The 19022-nt window shown below is 38.4% G+C and overlaps 1 protein-coding gene across 51 annotated transcripts in view; it reads left to right on the top strand.

Annotated features, from left to right (window-relative positions):
- Positions 1–19022, top strand: part of TUT4 (terminal uridylyl transferase 4) — a 130189-nt gene that overhangs the window by 89246 nt on the left and 21921 nt on the right. For 34 of the 51 annotated variants that reach the window (XM_017000804.3, XM_047416324.1, XM_047416327.1 and 31 more), the window contains 8 exons: positions 2449–2506; positions 2602–2705; positions 2995–3084; positions 5769–5882; positions 17551–17628; positions 17776–17953; positions 18214–18261; positions 18349–18431. In XM_017000804.3, the coding sequence (XP_016856293.1) occupies positions 2449–2506; positions 2602–2705; positions 2995–3084; positions 5769–5882; positions 17551–17628; positions 17776–17953; positions 18214–18261; positions 18349–18431 (753 nt within the window). Of the gene's footprint in view, positions 1–440; positions 981–2448; positions 2507–2601; positions 2706–2994; positions 3085–5768; positions 5883–17550; positions 17629–17775; positions 17954–18213; positions 18262–18348; positions 18432–19022 lie in introns of those variants that run through there. The other 17 variants (XM_047416421.1, XM_047416417.1, XM_047416413.1 and 14 more) reach the window with 2 other exon arrangements.

The raw sequence follows: 19022 nt of genomic DNA, 5'->3' as shown, positions 1-19022 counted from the left end.
TTTTGGGCGGGGAGGAGAACTAACATTTATTGAGTTCCCAGTATACACTTTTACATACATTATCTCATTTCATTCTTACAACCACCTTCGAGGTAGGTATTATTTCCCCCATTTTACAGATGAGGAAACTGAGGCTTTGAAAGATAAACTGACTTGTCCAAGTTCACACAGCTAGTAATTGTTGGAGCCGGGATTCGTAACCCAGGTCTGTCTGACTCCAGAGTTCATGCTCTTTCCATTGTATCTCACTGCCTCTCTGTAATTTTTTTAACCCATAATGTAGCTGAAATATAGTACTAATAGTACTGTAGAACCTAACCACTGCTTTCTGAAACTGATAGCTTTCTGAGTTCCACCGTGAGATGCCAGGAGCAGACCTTCCCCAAGTGCAATTTCAGCAGTAAGAGTGGGTACTTACGCTTTCCTTTTTTGTATACCAGGCCTTAATAGTGGGAAGGAGATTGTCCAAGCTCCAGGGAAGAAAAAGACTGATTGGACAGGGAAGAAGTGTCCCAGGCCTTCTCAACAGCAACTAGCAAAGGAGGGTATCCTTGTAGATGTTCAGTCCTTTACCAGCCTAGCTATTGTTATTTATGTTTCAAAATGCGGGACTGTTTGCAAGATTGGGGTGAGGCCCAGCTTCTGGCATCTGTAGTGGTGTCAGTATCGCCTCTGTTACATTATAAAAGAATTCAGCAGAATAGTGTGCTTTTCTAAAATCATTCTTTTGAACGGTGGTTTTGAAATTGTTAGACCCGGAGTAAAGATGGCAGTGATGACTTAACTTCTGGCCATAAGAAGTTGCTTCTGGTGTCTTAACATCTTGTTTTATAAAGAAACTGAAAAGTTGCAAGTATTTTATTTGTTCTCCTTTACTTAAATTCTGCTTAGAGCCACCTACTTGGAAAGTGGCTGCCCTTCTCCATTCTGAAGAGTAAGAATTGAGGGAATAGGAAATGATTTTTATACCCAGGAAAGAGGTTAGAGTTTTAGATATCTTCTATGTAAAATTTATTAAACTTCTAATCACTAAGGGTTTGTATATTATATATAATCTGTGCCATTCCTACTGGGAAGTTGAAACAATGAAAATAATAAATCATTTTCTTTCAGATGAGCCATAATTGAAACTTTTAAGATTAGCATAATTGTATCGTTGAATAATAAAGAGAAAAATTACCTCCTTTGTTAATTTTATCATATGTGAATTAGTAACTAATGGTTTCTTTGAAATCCTTTGGTTTAGCTGCAATGGCTCCTGCTCTCATGTAGCTAAAAAGAACATGTTGGAAAAATGCAAATGACTTTATAACTCTTGGGATTGATGTTTATACCCTTCAGCTATTTCCAGTTAATTTTTAATGCCATAATCATTATGTATTATGATTATCATTACCATACCAACTCTGCTGTCTCTGGTTTTTACAAGAGTAACACATTTAAATTTACAGAGGTAAGAATTTCCTTGGAGAAATAGGTGCTGGTGATAATAGGAGTATCTTTCTTTTCCATATCAACATAATTATAATAAATAACTCACAGATTTAAAGGCTTATTTTGTGCCAGGCATTCTGCTGAGTGCTTTACATACATGTCTCATGTAATCCTCCCAACAGCTCTGCAGGACAGGAGTTTATGATTATCTTGATTTTATAGAATAGTAATGTAATGCTCAGAGAGGTTAAACATCTGGTTAGTCACACAGCTAATCAATACTTAGTTTAAGATTTGAGACTGGGTGCAGTGGCTCACGCCTGTAATCCCAGCACTTTGGGAGGCTGAGGCGGGCGGATCACGAGGTCAGGAGATCGAGACCATCCTGGTGAACACGGTGAAACCTGGTCTCTACTAAAAATACAAAAAAATTAGCCGGGCACGGTGGCGGGTGCCTGTAGTCCCAGCAACTCGGGAGGCTGAGACAGGAGAATGGCATGAACCCGGGAGGCAGAGCTTGCAGTGAGCCGAGATAGCACCACTGCACTCCGGCCTGGGCGAAAGAGCAAGACTCCGTCTCAAAAAAAGAAAAAAAAAAAAAAAAAAAAGATTTGAATCCAGGTTTGTCTCAATTTGGAGCCTATGTACTTAATCAGTATATTGTTTTGCCCTCACCAAACTCACCTCTAGTTGTTTATTCACTTATTGAAAACCATATTCTTCTCCTGTCTTTGTGCTTCTCAAACTTTAATCTGCATGTGAATTACCTTGGGATCCTGTTAAAATGCAGATTATGATTTAGTAGACTGGGGAGGGTCCTCAGATTCTGCATTTCTATCAAGTTTCCAGATTATGCTGATACTGTAGGTCTATGAATCACTTACTTGGAGTAGCAAGGTTATTATAGAGCTTTATGGCTGGAAATTGTAAATGCTACTATTAAATGCTTAGATTAAAGTAGAATTTGCACAAGGTGAAATTGAGTCAAACTTATTTATTTGATTTGTTTTTTAGAAATTAAATTGTAAGGAAATAATTGAAAATTTGGCAAAAATTCTTAAGAGACATCCAGGTATGAATTTTGAATCTTATCTGTAAAACAAAATAAATTTTTTTAGCATATATGAAAATTATTTAACCTACTGAAGTCTTTTTTTTTTAAATTAGGTTTAAGAAACATTTTGCCTATAACTACTGCCAAAGTGCCTATAGTAAAATTTGAACACAGGCGAAGTGGGTTAGAAGGCGATATCAGTTTATATAATACGTTGGTAAGTTTATCTTTATAGGCCATGTATATACTTTTCATTTTAAAAGTTTACAGATTACTGACTCTATGTTTAAAACTTTCAAATGTGAACAGTATAAGGAAAAAGTATTTTACTAGTTATCTTGATAGTTCCTTCAGATTGAAGGTCAGTTTTTGTTTGACTCATTAATAGGTGTTTTACATTTTACATTTATATATTTTGTATTTGGAGTGTATTTTACTTTTAAATCTGATTTGTAGTTTAATTTTACGAAATTTGAAATCCTTTCAAATATGTAATTATTTTTCAGGCTCAACATAACACAAGAATGCTAGCTACTTATGCAGCTATTGATCCTAGAGTGCAGTATTTGGGATATACTATGAAAGTGTTTGCTAAGGTATTTATGAAAAAATTAATGATCTGCTTTGTTCATGATAATTAAAATGAAACATAACTAATGTCAGATTTGTGAAAAATTTTGTCTCAGTTTTGTTTATCTGAGCTTTTAAAAAAGAAACTTTCAGTATTATATAGCTTGAATAGATACCTATCAGAGTAGGGTGGCTCTGTCTTTTTTTCCTGTATGTATTCTATTCCCATGTGCAACTGACTAGTCAGTTTCTCAGCAGTAACATTTCTCAATGCAGTGATTTTAGCCCCAGGCATGGGAGTTGGCATATCATCCTAGTTAAGAATTTCTGAGTTAAGAAATCTTATATTTGAGTTTAGTGATAAGTTTTTCTGACCCAGAAAACAAAACAATACCAATAATACCTTACGCTTCTCCTATTATAACACTTGTTATGACATTGAATTTAGTTTTCTCATTCTTTTGCTAATTGTGTAAACTAGGTGAGAACAGGAACCTCTGTTTCTCTAGTTCATTGTAGTGCCTGCTTTGTGGTAGCTGCTCAGTGGAATGATTAATTTTATTAATGTGTTAGTGGAAGAGTTTTAGTAGGGGAGAAAGTTGGTCAGATTTTCATTTCATAAAGCTTCCTCTTTCTAATAGGAAGGCTATTGTTGTTGTTGTTGTTGTTCCTGTTGTTGAGATGGAGTCTCACTCTGTCACCCAGGCTGGAGTGCAGTGGTGGGATCTCAGCTCACTGCAACCTCCGCCTCCTGGGTTTAAGCGATTCTCCTGCCTCAGCCTCCCAAGTAGCTGGGATTACAGGCATTCACCACCATGCCTGGCTAATTTTTGTATTTTTAGTAGAGACGGGGTTTCACCATGTTGGCCAGGCTGGCCTCAAACTCCTGACCTCAAGTGATCCTCCAGCCTCGGCCTCCCAAAGTGCTGGGATTATTGTGCCTGACTGGAAATCATATTTTTAAAGATATTCCTGTACATGTCTTTCTAGACAAGAGTGTATCTTAGAAAAGCATAGAGGCACATACTACATACAAGACTTGATATGCCTACTTTTCTAGATTCACCTAACAAGGTAACTCTAACATGACAGTTTTGTTATAACTACATAGAATTCTGTTAATTAAATCACCCCTTTTCCCTTTAAATATAGATATAAGCTAAATCCTTGCTCAAGGGAAGAAGTCTCTGAAGATTCTTTCAGGTTTCATTCCTCCTCCCTCTCCTCTCCCCCCTCCCCTATATTTTTTTAATTTTTATTTTAATTTCATGTTTTTTTGAGATGGCGTCTTTCTCTGTCACCCAGGCTGGCGTGCAGTGGCACAATCTCGGCTCACTGCAACCTCCACCTCCTAGATTCAAGCAGTTTTCCCTGCCTCAGCCTCCAGAGTAGCTGGGATTACAGGTGCCTGCTACCACGCCTGGCTAATTTTTGTATTTTTGGCAGAGACGGGGTTTTGCCATGTTGGCCAGGCTGGTCTTGAACTCCTGACCTCCTCCGCCCGCCTCGGCCTCCCAAAGTGCTGTGATTAGAGGCGTGAGCCACCACCCCCAGCCTTTATTTTTATTTTTGAGGCAGGATTCCACTCTGTTGCCCAGGCTGGAGTAAAGTGGTGTGATTACAGCTCACTGCAGCCTTGACCTCCTGGGCTCAATTGATCCTCCTACCTCAGCCTCTTGAGTAGCCAGGACTACAGGCGTGTGCCACCATGCCCAACTATTTTTTGTATTTCTTGTAGAGATGGGGTTTCGCCATGTTGCCCAGACTGGTCTTGAACTCTTGGGCTCAAGCAATCCACCCTCCTCAGCCTTTCGAAGTGCTGAGATGACAGGCATGAGCCACCATGTCTGGCTTCCTTGTTCTTTTTTTTTTTTGAGACGGAGTCTCGCTCTGTCGCCCAGGCTGGAGTGCAGTGGTGCTATCTCGGCTCACTGCAAGCTCTGCCTCCTGGGTTCACGCCATTCTCCTGCCTCAGCCTCCCGAGTAGCTGGGACTACAGGCGCCCGCCACCACACCCGGCTAACTTTTTTATTTTTAGTAGAGATGGGGTTTCACCGTGTTAGCCCCTTGTTCTTTGTTTTTTATTTATTAAAAAAGATGTTTATCCTAACCACGAGACCATCAGGGGACTTCGTTCTTTTTTTAATGGTTGCATACCATTCCATTATGTGAATAGTCGTTAATTATTTTAAACCTGCGCCTGCACTTTATTGATGAACCTAAAACTATTTCTGATTTTTTGCTATTAAAATAGTGCTGCAATTAAAAAAACCTTCTTAGTCATTTCACATATGTTTTGGCATGTTTGCAGGGTACATTCTTAGAATAGGATTGCTGGTTCAAAGAAAATGTGCTTTTGTAATTGTGATATTGTCAAATATTCTTCATAGTGTTTGTATTAATTTATACTCTCACCTGCAGTGTGTGAGAGTACCTGTTTCCCCACGTCATGTATAGTAGTTTTTTGTTTGTTTGTTTGTTTGTAAGATGGGGTCTCACTGCATTACCCAGGCTGGTCTTGACTTCCTGGGCTGAAGCTTTTCTTTCACCTCAACCTCCCAGAGTGTTGGGATTATAGACGGTGCAGTTTGTTTTTAACTCAGTTTAACCCAGTTCTGTGGGTTAAAAAAAATGATGTGGCAGAATGTTTAATATACTTCTGCATGGAGTAAGACTCTGAAGTTTTGTTTTCAATCATGTTGTTTTTTAGCGATGTGACATTGGGGATGCTTCCAGGGGAAGTTTATCTTCATATGCATATATCCTTATGGTGCTGTACTTTCTGCAGCAGAGAAAGCCACCTGTTATCCCAGTTCTACAAGAGGTAGGTGTTTAAGAAAACTATAAAGGAGTTTTTTTTGAAAACAATAGATCTAAACACAGGAGATTTTGCTTGGTTCATGTCATCATGAAGGATTTTTCCATCATGGTTGTCCTAAGTTTTCTCTTTCCATTAATGCTATAATTAAACAATGAATATTTTTGAAAAATTTATTATGGGAGAATATAGACTACCAAAAGAATATTAGATGAATAGAACCATTGAATATCTTTTGTAATGTTTTTAAATTTTACAGTCTTAGAGTGCTGTGGATGATTGTGAAGTTCTTGTAGCCAGCCATGAACTCATATATTTTATAGTCTCCAAGATGCAAGTACATAAGTTTCTTCTTTCTAGAATATTTTCCCTCCTGTTGCCTGGCAATGAAGATTGATTTATTCTTATGTATACTTTGGTCAACCTTGTGAATTTTGGTTTAGAATGAACCCAGGGAAACTCTTCCTTATCTCTTCTGAAGTCATATTAATTACATTAAACATAAGAATGTACATTGAAAGAAACAGATTATACTCATTCACTCAGAATTGGTGACTTATAAAGTTCCTTTTTGTAGTCAATTTATACTCTCTGAAATTGGTACAAAGGAGATATTAATCATCCATCTGTTCCGCCTGATTCTTGGCACAAAGTAGATTTGTAGGCGTTAGGGAGGATCCAATTCAAATTTTTTAGAATGGTGACTATTTTTATTTAGGAGACAAGCATCAGACTTGGTTGGAAAAGTCACATATTCTGGTTTCACATAATCTTTGATAGTTATGGCAAAGAAGAAAATCACAAAATAGGCTGGGCGTGGTGGCTCACGCCTGTAATCCCAGCACTTTGGGAGGCCGAGGCGGGCAGATCACGAGGTCAAGAGATCGAGACCATCCTGGCCAACATGGTGAAACCCCGTCTCTACTAAAAATATAAAAATTAGCCGGGCGTGGTGGTGCGTGCCTGTAATCCCAGCTACTCGGGAGACTGAGGCAGGAGAATTGCTTGAACCCGGGAGGCAGAGGTTGCAGTGAACTGAGATCTCACCACTGCACTCCAGCCTGGTGACAGAGAGGGAGAGTCCATCTCAAAAAAAAAAAGAAAAGAAAAAAAAGAAAAATCACAAAATTATAAGCCATATAGTAGGTGTCAGATAGCCTTAGTAAGTTTTAAGAAGTTCTAATGAATATATATGGTTTTACCAGCGTTTCCTTCCCTGTTTTAAACAATGGATGGGAATCCTTTCCTAGCCAAAGATTTAAGTTGCTGAATCTGTGTTGGGTGATGTATGTTTGGGTGTGTGTTTAAAGTATTTTTTCAGAGCAGTTTTAAGTTCACAGCAAAATTGAGAGGACTGTAAAGAGTTTCCAACATACCTCCTGTACCCACACATGCATAGCCTCCCCCATTATTAACCCCACCAGAGTGGTACATTTTTTACAACTGATGAACCTACATTGACATATAATCACCCGAAGTCCATAGTTTGCAATTAACATTTATTCTTGATGTTGTATATTCTAAGGGTTTGGACAATATATAATGATGTACACATTTTATCATAATCAATGATACATCAATATATGCCATTACAGTATCATACAGTTTTCAGTGCCTTAAAAATTTTTGTACTTTGCCTAGTCATCCTCCCCTCAACCCCTGGCAACCACTAATCTTTGTGCTGTTGTCTTCATAGTTTTGACTTTTCCAGAATATCATATTGTTGGAATCATATAGTATGTAGCCTTTTCAGATTGACTTCCATCACTCAGTGATATGTGTTTAAATTTCCTCCATGTCTTTTCATGGCTTGATAGCTCATTTCTTTTTCTTTTTCTTTCTTTTTTTTTTTTAATTTTTAAATGTTCAGACTTTTTTGTTGAACCTCTAAATCTATTTTATCTTTTTTTTTTTTTTTTTTTTTTTTTTTGAGACACAGTCTCGCTCTGTTGCCCAGGCTGGAGTGCAGTGGCATGATCTCAGCTCACTGCAACCTCCACCTCCGGGGTTCAAGCGATTAAAGCAATTCTCTTGCCTAAGCCTCCTGAGTAGCTGGGATTACAGGTGTGCACCACCACGCCCTGCTGGTTTTTGTATTTTTAGTAGAGTGGGGTTTTACCATGTTGGCCAGGCTGGTCTCTAATGTCTGACCTCAGGTGATCCACCCGCCCCGGCCTCCCAAAGTGCTGGGATTACAGGCATGAGCCACCACGCCTGGCCTATCATTTCTTTTTAGTGCTCAGTAATACTCCATTGTTGGGATGTACCACAGTTTATTCATTCACATATGGAAAAATATCTGTTTTACTTCCAAGTTTTGGCTATTAAGAATAAAGCTGTTACAGACATCTGTGTGCAAGTTTTTGTATGGACATAGTTTTCAGGTCTTTTGGGTGAATACGAAGGAGTCACATTGCTGAATCATATGTACGAGTATGTTTAGTTTTGTAAGAAATGGCCAGCTGTTTTCCAAAGTGGCTGTACCAGTTTGCATTTCTACCAGCAATGTGTGAGAGTTCCTGTTGCTCCACATCCACCCAGCATTTGAGTACTTGTCCATGTTCTGGATTTTGGCCATTCTTTTAGGTGTGTAGTAGTCTTTCTTTCTTTCCTTTAGGTGTATAATCATCTGTCTGTCTGTCCATCCATCCTCCCTTCCTCCTTCCCTCTCCCCCCCTCCCCTGCCCTCCCCTCCCTTCCTCTCCCCCGTCTTTTTTTTTTTTTTTTTTTTTTTAAAGGTAGCGTCTCACTCCTGTTGCTGCCCGGGCTGGACTGTGCAATCATGGCTCCCTGCAGCCTCAACTTCCCAGGCTAAGGTGATTCTCCCACCTCAGCCTCCTGAATAGCTGGGACTACGGGTGCACACCACCAAGCCCAGCTAATTTTTTATATATTTAGTAGAGATGGGGTTTTGCCATGTTGCTCAGGCTGGTCTCGAACTCCTGGGCTCAAGCCCACCTCGGCCTCTCAAAGTGTTGAGATTACTTTTAATGGCAAAACCGCAATTACTTTTGCTTCAATCTAATATTTTGTTTTATTTATCTATTTATTTATTTTTGAGAGAGGGTCTTGCTCTGTTGTCCACGCTAGATTACAGTGGCACAATCTCCACTCACTGCAACCTCCACTTCCTGAGCTCAAGTGATCCTCCTAAGTAAGCCTCCCAAGTAGCTGGGATTACAGACATGAGCCACCATGTCTGGCTAGTTTTTGTATGTTTTATAGAGATTGGGTTTCTCCATGTTGCCCAGGTTGGTCTCGAGCTCTGGGCTCAAGTAATTTGCCTGCCTTGGCCTCCCAAAGTGAGTGCTGGGATTACAAGTGTGAGCCACCTCACCTGGCCACTGTTGTTTTAATTTGCATCTCCCTGATGACATTATGCGGAAATCTTTTCATATGCTTATTTTGCCATTCATATGTCTTCTTTGGTGAGGTTCTTTGGTCCATTTTTTTAAACAGGTTATTTTCTTACTGTTGAGTTTAAGGAGTTCTTTGTGTATTTTGAATAATAGTCCTTTATCAGATGTGTGTTTTGCAACTATGTTCTCCATGTCTGTGGCTTGTTTTTTCATTCCCTTGACGTTGTCTTTTGCAGAGCAGAAAATTTTAATTTTAGTAAAGTCCATCTTGTCAATTATTTCTTTCATAGCTCTTGCCTTTGGTGTTGTGTCTAAAAAGATATCACTATACTCAAGGTCATACAGATTTTCTCTTGTGTTTTCTTCCAGGAGTTTTATTTTACATTTAGGCCTGTGAGCCATTTAGAGTTAATTTTTGTGAACGGTATAAGGTCTATGCCTAGATTCATTGTTTTGCGTGTGGATGTTCATTTGTTTCAATACCATTTGTTGAAAAGAATATTATTTCTCCACTGTATTGTCTTTGCTCCTTTGTCAAGGATCAGTTGACTATATTTATGTACTATATTTATATACTTTTGGGCCCTCCACTGTTGCATTGATTTATTTATTATTTCACCAATGCCATACTCTCTTATTTATAGTAGTGTTATAATAACTCTTGAGGTTGGGTTGCATCAGTCTTGCAGCTTTGTTCTTCTCCTTCAATATTGTGTTAGCTATTCTGAGTCTTTTGCCTCTCTATGTAAACTTTAGAATCAGTTTGTCTATATCCACAAAATGACTTGCTAGAATTTTGATTGGGATTGAATTGAATCTGGAGACCAAGTAGGGAAGAACTGACATCTTGACAATTTTGAGTCTTCCTGTCAATTATAATGGAATATCTCTCCATTTATTTAGTTCTTTGATTTTGCTCATCAGAGTTTTGTAGTTTTCCTCATGTAGCCCTTGCACATATTTTGTTAGACTTACACCTATGTATTTCATTTTTTGGTGCTGATGTAAATGGTATTGTATTTCTAATTTCAAATTCCACTTGTTCATTGCATGTATCTGGGAAAGTGTTTGAATTTTTTATATTAATCTTGTGTCTTGTAAACTTGCTGTAATTGCTTATTCTTGGAGTATTGTTTCAATTTGGATTTTATGCATGGATTATCATGTCATATGTGAACAGTTTTATTTCTTCTCACCCTGTATACCTTTTATTTCCTTTTCTTGTTTCATTGCATTAGCTAGAACTTCCAGTGTCAGCATTACCTAAGACTTCCCAGATGTTGAAAAGGAGTGGTGAAAGAGAACATCCTTGTATTATTCCTGATTTTACAAGGGAAAGCATTGAGTTTTTCACCATTTGAGTATGATGTTAGCTGTAGGATTTTTGTAGATTTGTTTAACAAGCTGAGGAAATTTTCCTCCATTCTTAGTTTATAGAGTTTTTTTTTTTTTTAATCATGAATGTGTGTTGGATTTTGTCAAATGCTTTTTCTGCATCTATTGATCGTGACTTTTCTTCTTTAGCCTGTTGATGTGATGGGTTACTAAGGAGAAAACACACACTCAAACCCAAAATGCTTTTTATTTCTTTTTTTTTTTTGAGACGGAGTTTCGCTCTTGTCACCCATGCTGGAGTGCAGTGTTGCAATCTCTGCTTACTCCAGCCTCCGCCTCCTGGGTTCAAGCGATTCTCCTGCCTCAGCCTCCCCAGTAGGTGGGATTACAAGTGCCCACCACCATGCCCGGCTAATTTTTTTGTATTTTTAGTAGAGACGGGGTTTCACCACGCAGGCTAGTCTCGAACTCCTTATGTCAGGTGATCCACCTGCCTCAGCCTCCCAAAGTGCTGGGATTACAGGCCTGAGCCCCCACGCCCAGCCCCCAAAATGTTTTTTCTATTCTCTTACTCAACAACAATAATCACAGAAGACTTCTGTGACCAAATGTGTTGGGGGGGTTTTCCCCATATACCAAGCAAGCAACCACTTCTGCGTTGAACACCATGGTGTCCTCCAATTCAATTCTGGCACCATCTGTAGTATCAGATTCCACTGGTTGACGGCTCAGTCCCACAAGACTATCCCCAGTTTAGACACCAGTTGCAAGTCTAGGCCCTCCAGAACTTCTGACTGACCAGCTTAAAGTTTGGGTTCCTATGACGACCTCTTTGGGTTTGATTAATTTGCTAGAATGGCTCACAGAACTCAACCATTTACTTAGGCTTACTGGTTTATTATAAGGGATATTACAAAGGATATAAATGAAGAAATACATAAAACAAGGTATGGGAGAAGGGATGAGGAGTTTTCATGCCCTATCAGGGCATACCACCATCTAGGAACCTCCATGTGTTCAGCTATCAAGAAGCTATTTGGACCGAGACCTTTGGGTTTTTATGGAGGCTTCATTACATATGCAAGATTGATTAAGCCAAGCTGTTCGCCATTGGTGATCAACTTAACCTTTAGCCCTTCTCCGCTCCCCAAAGGTTGGGGTATAGGGCTGAAAGTCCCAACCCTGTAATCATGCCTTGGTCTTTCTGGTGACCAACCCCCATTTTAAAGATACCTAGGGGCTGTCAGCCAGTAGTCAACTTGCTTGCATACAAAAAGACTTCTCTTTGGAGATTCCAAGGATGTTACGAGTTGTATGTCAGGAAATGGGTTTGGAGGCCAATTATAACATCACAATTACATCAGTTGAGTTTGAGATGTTGAACCTGCTTTGTATAACTCTCTTTTGTACATTATTGGATTTGATTTGCTAATATTTTGTTGAGGAATTTTGCATCATTGTTCATGAGAGATTGGTCTGTAGTTTTCTTTACTTACAATGTCTTTGTCTGGTTTTGGTATTAGGGTAATGCTGGCCTTGTAGAATGAGTTAGGAAGTGTTCCTTCTGCTTCTGTCTTCGAAAGATGAGGCAGAAGGAACACTTCCTAACTCATTCTTCGAGAATTGGTTTAATTTCTTCCTTAAATGTTTGGTAGAATTCATCAGTGTACCCATCTAGGCCTAGTGCTTTCTTTTTTGGATGGTTATTAATTATTGATTCAGTTTATTTAATAGATATAGGCCCATTCAGATTTTCTGTTTCTTCTTGTGTGAGTTTTGGCATATTGTGTCTTTTTTTTTTTTTTGAGATGGAATCTCACTCTGTTGCCCAGGCTGGAGTACAGTGGCGTGATCTCGGCTCACTGCAATCTCCGCCTCCTGGGTTCAAGCAATTCTCCTTCCTCAGCCTCTGGAGTACCTGGGATTACAGGTGCCCGCCACCATACCCGGCTCATTTTTGTATTTTTAGTAGAGACAGCGTTTCACCAATGTTGGCCAGGCTGGTCTTGAACTCCTGACCTCAGGTGATCCGCCCGCCTTGGCCTCCCAAAGTGCTGGGATTACAGGCGTGAGCCACCGCCCCTGGCTGGTATATTGTGTCTTTTAAGGAATTAGTTCATTTCATCTAGGTTATCAAAATTGTAGTTCATAGTGTTATTATTCTTTTAATGTCCATGAGATATGTATTGATATCCCCTCTTTCATTTCTGTTGTTAGTAATTTATATACCTTCTCTTCTTAATTAGCCTGGCTAGGAGTGATTTGTTTTTTAACAAATTTGTTCACTGGATGATATTTAAAATTTACCATAAATTAATTAGGCCTGCCAAGGCCAGCATTACTCTCTGTATTCTTATTCTTATTCTTATTTTTTTTTTTTTTGAGACAGAGTCTCGCTCTGTCACCCAGGCTGGAGTGCAGTGGCGCAATCTCGGCTCACTGCAAGCTCCACATCCCAGGTTCACGCCATTCTCCTGCCTCAGCCTCCCGAGTAGCTGGGACTAAAGGCGCCCACCACCATGTCAGGCTTATTTTTTTGTATTTTTAGTAGAGATGGGGTTTCACCGTGTTAGCCAGGATGGTCTCGATCTCCTGACCTTGTGACCCGCCCACCTGGGCCTCCCAGAGTGCTGGGATTACAGGCGTGTGCCACCGCGCCCAGCCTACTCTCTGTATTATTATAATCGTTGTTTAGGCTTTAAATAGGGATCATATGTACTAATTCTCCAGTAATATCATTTGCCACTTTGCCGGAATACTATGATTAACAAAAATGGACCACAAATTTGATTTTCTTGGTGGTTTGTCTGTATTCTCTCCTTACCCATGGATTAGGAGTCACTGAGGTAGCATGAAGTAATAGAAATACCAAGGCATGGTATTTAGAGCCAGAAATAACTAGTCAGAATCCTAATTCTAACATTTTGGCCTTAACAATCTGCATAAGTCTGAGTTTCATCATCATTAAAAATGTAATAATGATAATATTTCAGTGTTGATATGAGGAACAGAAACATTTAATGCTTTTGAATGTAGTAGGTGCTAAAGTAGACATTCATAAACAGTGCTTGCTTTTATTATTATTTTTACTATTATGATTTATGCTCATTAGCAGCATTATTGCTATTATTATTGGAAAAATGTAGGTAGGACTACCATATTCAACTTTAAAAACTCTTTCATTATCTGTTTAACAGACATCTGCTTAATATTGATCAAACAAGAGACAGTTCATGGAATGTTTCCTATCATAATGAGGTTTGATTTCGGGGGACTTTGTGATATATATAGACTGATGATACATGGAATTTTGTTTCTGGCCTTTTTTAATGGTTGTCATATGGGACCTCATTGTCCATTGCTCTGGCATCATTTAAGTATTGACCATTGGCATCAATTATCTTTTAAGGGTAAGGATATGTTTAAAGAAGCTAATGATGTCTGCCTCCATTTGTAATTAAGCTTTAACTTTATATGGCTGGGTATTACTAAGGCACAGCTAAGAGCATTTTTTTGATGGTCAGCAGTACTAAGTTCTTTACGTCAAAAAGAGCTGTCCTAGGCAGAAGATTTTTGCTCTACCCTAGCAAATCATAATAAGTAAAAGCAAATTTTCACATAAAAATTAATTCCAAAAAAGATTTGGGAGTGTTCACACATGATTTTATGAAAAATTTTTTTAACCCATATCAGCTTAAAATTTGCAACTTAATGAATGAATCTTGAGGACATTATGCTAAGTGAAGTAATCCAGTCACAGAAAGACAAATACTATTTGATTCTACTTATATGAAGTACCTAGAGTAGTCAAATTCATAGGGACAGAAAGTAGAGTGGTGGTTGCCAGGGAATCTCAAGGAGGGAGAAATGGGAAGTAATAGTTTCATAAATACAGAGTTTTAGTTTTACCAGATGATAAGATTTTTGTGAATGGATGGTGGTGATGGTAGCGTGACAGTATGACTATACTTAGGCCGCAGGACTGTATGCTTATGATGGTAAATTTTATATTTTGTGTATCTTACCACAACTAAAAAATTACAAGTTAGGCCAGTCGCAGTGGTTTACACCTGTAATCCCAGCACTTTGGGCGGCCGAGGGGGGTAGATTACTTGAGGTCAGGAGTTTGAGACCAGCCTGGCCAATATGGCAAAACCTCATCTCTACTAAAAAATACAAAAATTAGCCAGGCATGGTGGCATATGCCTGTAATCCCAGCTACTTGGGAGGCTGAGGCACAAGAATGGCTTGAACTGGCGAGGTGGAGGTTGCAGTGAGCTGAGATTGTGCCACTGCACTCCAGCCTGGGTGACAGAGCGAGACTCTGTCTAAACAGAAAAATGCAATGTAAATATAACAGTACATATTAGAATATCACAATAAGATAAGAATTTTGGAAATGTTTAGGGTCATTCTTTACATAAATATGATTGACTTATTTGGTGATCCTTATAATATGATTGACTTGTTTAGAGGGAGGACTGAGTGCTAAGTTGAAGATGATTCGTGTTGAATGAGAGAGAACAGAGAGACAGCAGGGAGAGAGAGTGTGTGTGTGTGTGTCTGTGTGTGTGTGTGTGTAAAAGTGTATAGCATTAGTGCTTCTGGGGGCTGAAACAGAGTGGAGAGAATTAAACACAGTGAAACATGAGAATTCAAAAGAATAGGCAAAATGAGTGATGATTAACGTTACAAGGCCCACAGACCTACTCCACTGTGTTATCAGCCAACGTAGTTGGGCTGGATCATGGATATTACTGAGAAGTATGAAATCTCTTAAAAACAATCATGATCTAAAGAGTTGGATTGTTGTTACTCAGAAGTATGAATTATCTCAAAACAGGGTTCTAAAGAGGTAGTTTATTTCAATATCTAGCAAATAAATCTGTGTTTACAAAACATGAAATACCTATAATAGCGTCTGAATCTTTAAGGATAAAATATTACATGTCAGCCCCTTAATATCTTCACTTCTTTCTTGAGGTCAGAAATCCTATGTCTTTTGTTTCAGATATTAATAGCTGCAATTGCCTCTTTTTTTTTTTTTTTTTTTTTTTTTGAGACAGAATCTCGCTTAGTCACCCAGTCTGGAGTGTAGTGGCACAATCTCAGCTCATTGCAACCTCAATCTCCTGAGTTCAAGCGATTCTCCTGCCTCCGCCTCCCAAGTAGCTGGGACTACCAGCACGAACCACCACGCCCAGCCAATTTTTTGTATTTTTATTAGAGACGGGGTTTTGCCATGTTGGCCAGGCTGGTCTTGAACTCCTGACCTCAGGTGATCCGCCTGCCTCGGCCTCCCAAAGTGCTGGGATTACAGGCATGAGCCACTGCGCCCGGCCTCAGTCTTTCACTTTTGTTTTATGAAATGTCGGAATATGTGCTAGATGACTTTTAGTAAACTGTATCTGTTTAAGTAATATGTAAATGTTAAAAAGCAACTTATTAGCCCTAGTCCCTGGAAGCTTGATTTCTGTGTAACATACTTACATATTAAATATAGTCATTCAACAAACATATATTAAGTGTTCTCTATGTGGCTTTGGTCTAGTAGGGTTCTGGGTTTCAGAGATAAGCCATAGTCCTTACCCACAAAGAACTTAAATCTGAGGATAAAATTGGAGGGGCCAGACATGTAGTTAATTTTATAAATCACTGTCACATCAAAAATGGAAATGGCCATTGGGCCCAGGCCCACCTTAACTAGTGGATTTAAATGGTATTGTGGTTTAACTGTATTCTGGGACCCATTAGTCACGGTAGAGGGTAAAGAGAAGGTGGTGTGGTATGTTTTCTCCATTTATAAACTACTGACTGACTAATTTATATAGTCTTTCCTCATTTTCACTGGGAAAAGTGAGCACTTAGGGAGATGATTGTCTTGCCCAGAACCACTATTCCTCAGGATAGAGGCTAGAAATTAGGTCTCCTGACTGAATCTGTTGCACCTTCCTACTTTATTGCATCTCTTAAGCCTCCTTTAGAATAAAAGTATCAATTACTTGTGGAAGTCAGTTACACAGACATCTTACGGGATACTTTTCTTGTAAAAATAGCGTTTTTTTCTCCTTTTTTCTTCTCCTTAGGACAGCGGATTATTATTCATAATAAAGTTTATAGTCTTTATCAAAATGTAAGGGAAAGCTTCCTAATTTTCCTTTTTTTTTTTTGTTTTTTTGTTTTTTTGTTTTTTTTTGGTGAGATGGAGTCTCGCCCTGTCGCCCAGGCTGGAGTGCAGTGGCACGATCTCGGCTGACTGCAACCTCTGCTTTCCAGGTTCAAGCATTTCTCCTGCCTCAGCCTCCCGAGTAGATGGGATTACAGGTGCACGCCACCACGCCCAGCTAATTTTTTGTATCTTTAGTAGACACTGGGTTTCACCATGTTGGCCAGGCTGGTCTCAAACTCCTGACCTCATGATCCACCATTCTCGGCCTCCCAAAGTGCTGGGATTACAGGCGTGAACCACCGTGCCTGGCCCTAATTTTCCATTTTTACAAAATGATAGTCCAATTGCTTTTTAGCCTTATCTGATATAGATAAATGATTAAAGGTACTAGGTCCCAAAACAGTTCTGTTGCCTTCCTTTGGGTGCACAATCAGTGGGTATTATCTATTTTGTATTTTTATATCTGTGATCCTTTGATGAAACTGCTGTTTCATCATGACTGCTGTTTCTTTTTTAAGTTTTGCTTCATTATTCTTGGACTGGATATGTTTTGATAGGTCAAGTAGATAACATCAAATGTATCATTTGGAGTTTAATGCTCTTAAAAGACATCCTTTTCCAGCTTTGGTCTTTCAGATACGTTTTATTCATTAACTTCTTGGCATCAAATTATACCATCATCCTGACATGTTCTTTTTGGAAGAAGTATTTTAGTATGTCTTATAGGTAAATTCTAAAATGGTATTAGAGTATTTGGACCTTTGGGTTGGATCACTTGAAATCTAATAATACAATTAATTTTTTTATGCAGATCTTTGATGGAAAACAGATTCCACAGAGAATGGTTGATGGATGGAATGCTTTCTTCTTTGATAAAACAGAAGAACTGGTAATTTTAAAATAGTCTTTATGTTCTAGAATGCTCACTGATATATGTTAGCATCTGTATAATTTAATAATTTTACTTAAATTTGCTGTCCATGTTTTGGATAGTACTGTATAGACATTGTTCTTTTCTTTTTTTTTTTATATGTAGAAAAAGCGTTTACCTTCACTTGGAAAGAACACAGAATCATTAGGGGAGCTTTGGCTGGGACTGCTTCGTTTCTATACTGAAGAGTTTGATTTCAAGGAATATGTAATTAGCATTCGGCAGAAAAAGCTGTTGACAACTTTTGAGAAGCAGTGGACTTCCAAGTGCATTGCAATTGAAGGTAACATTTAAGCTGATATTAATTCAGGAGCAACCAAAATTTGGTCAACGAAATTGAGGGGAAAACTGAAATACATTAGGATTTGGAAGATTCTTCCTCTTTTATCAGTTTTCCTCCTTTAATGTGTAATTTTAGAGGAAGAGTTTGCTGATTTGTATAGTCTGAGTACATATAAGTATTAGACTTCAGCGGTGACTTCTAAGTATATTTTTATGGTACAGTGAATGTAATTCTTAATCATTGATATATTTCTTTTGTAGACCCTTTTGACTTGAATCATAACCTTGGTGCTGGAGTTTCCAGAAAAAGTAAGTTTTAAATATAGAGATTCTCTGATTTTAAAACTCTGACACATTAATGTCTGCATCTTTATTGTTTTCTTCTTTCTTTAATAGTGACCAATTTCATCATGAAAGCATTTATCAATGGAAGGAAACTTTTTGGTACCCCTTTTTATCCACTCATTGGCAGAGAAGCTGTAAGTTTACATTATATGAATTGTGAATCTTTTCTTTTTTTAAATAGAACAAGAAACTTAATTGTGTTTCCAAACTGATGTTAGATATAGGGAAAGAGATGGTCATAGCTTTGTATATTTTTTCTTATTGCATTTATCATAGTCCATAGTGAGATATATATTTTCAAAATTTTATTTGTTTAAACTATTTGTTAAATTCTGTCTTCTCCACTAGACTATAAGCCCCACGAAGACAGGATTCATGTCTGTAAGGTTCACCTATTTCCAGTACATACATAGTGTCTGGCGCATTGGATGTACCAAATAAGGATTTGTTGAGTGAATGAGAATAGTCAGTCAAGACTCTGGATTGTTGAATTTTAGGTGCTGCTCATTGTCCCTCTTTTATCTTCAGAAATCTCGATGAAAATATACACATAGAAGACAAAACCGAAGAAATATTTTATTATTTGTTGGGGCTTCTCTAATTTTTGTATAGCTTTAGTAAGCTGAATTAGATGGCATGGAACCGAGAAGTTTCCTTCTACCTGAATTGGGTGGGAGAGTGTCACACATTCCTCTTGGCCTCACTCTGGTTTTTGCCTGCTTTCT

This window comes from Homo sapiens, chromosome 1 (genome assembly GCF_000001405.40).
Source record: "Homo sapiens chromosome 1, GRCh38.p14 Primary Assembly".
Classification (NCBI taxonomy): Eukaryota; Metazoa; Chordata; class Mammalia; order Primates; family Hominidae; genus Homo; species Homo sapiens.
This window is presented reverse-complemented; position numbering and strand designations above follow the sequence as displayed.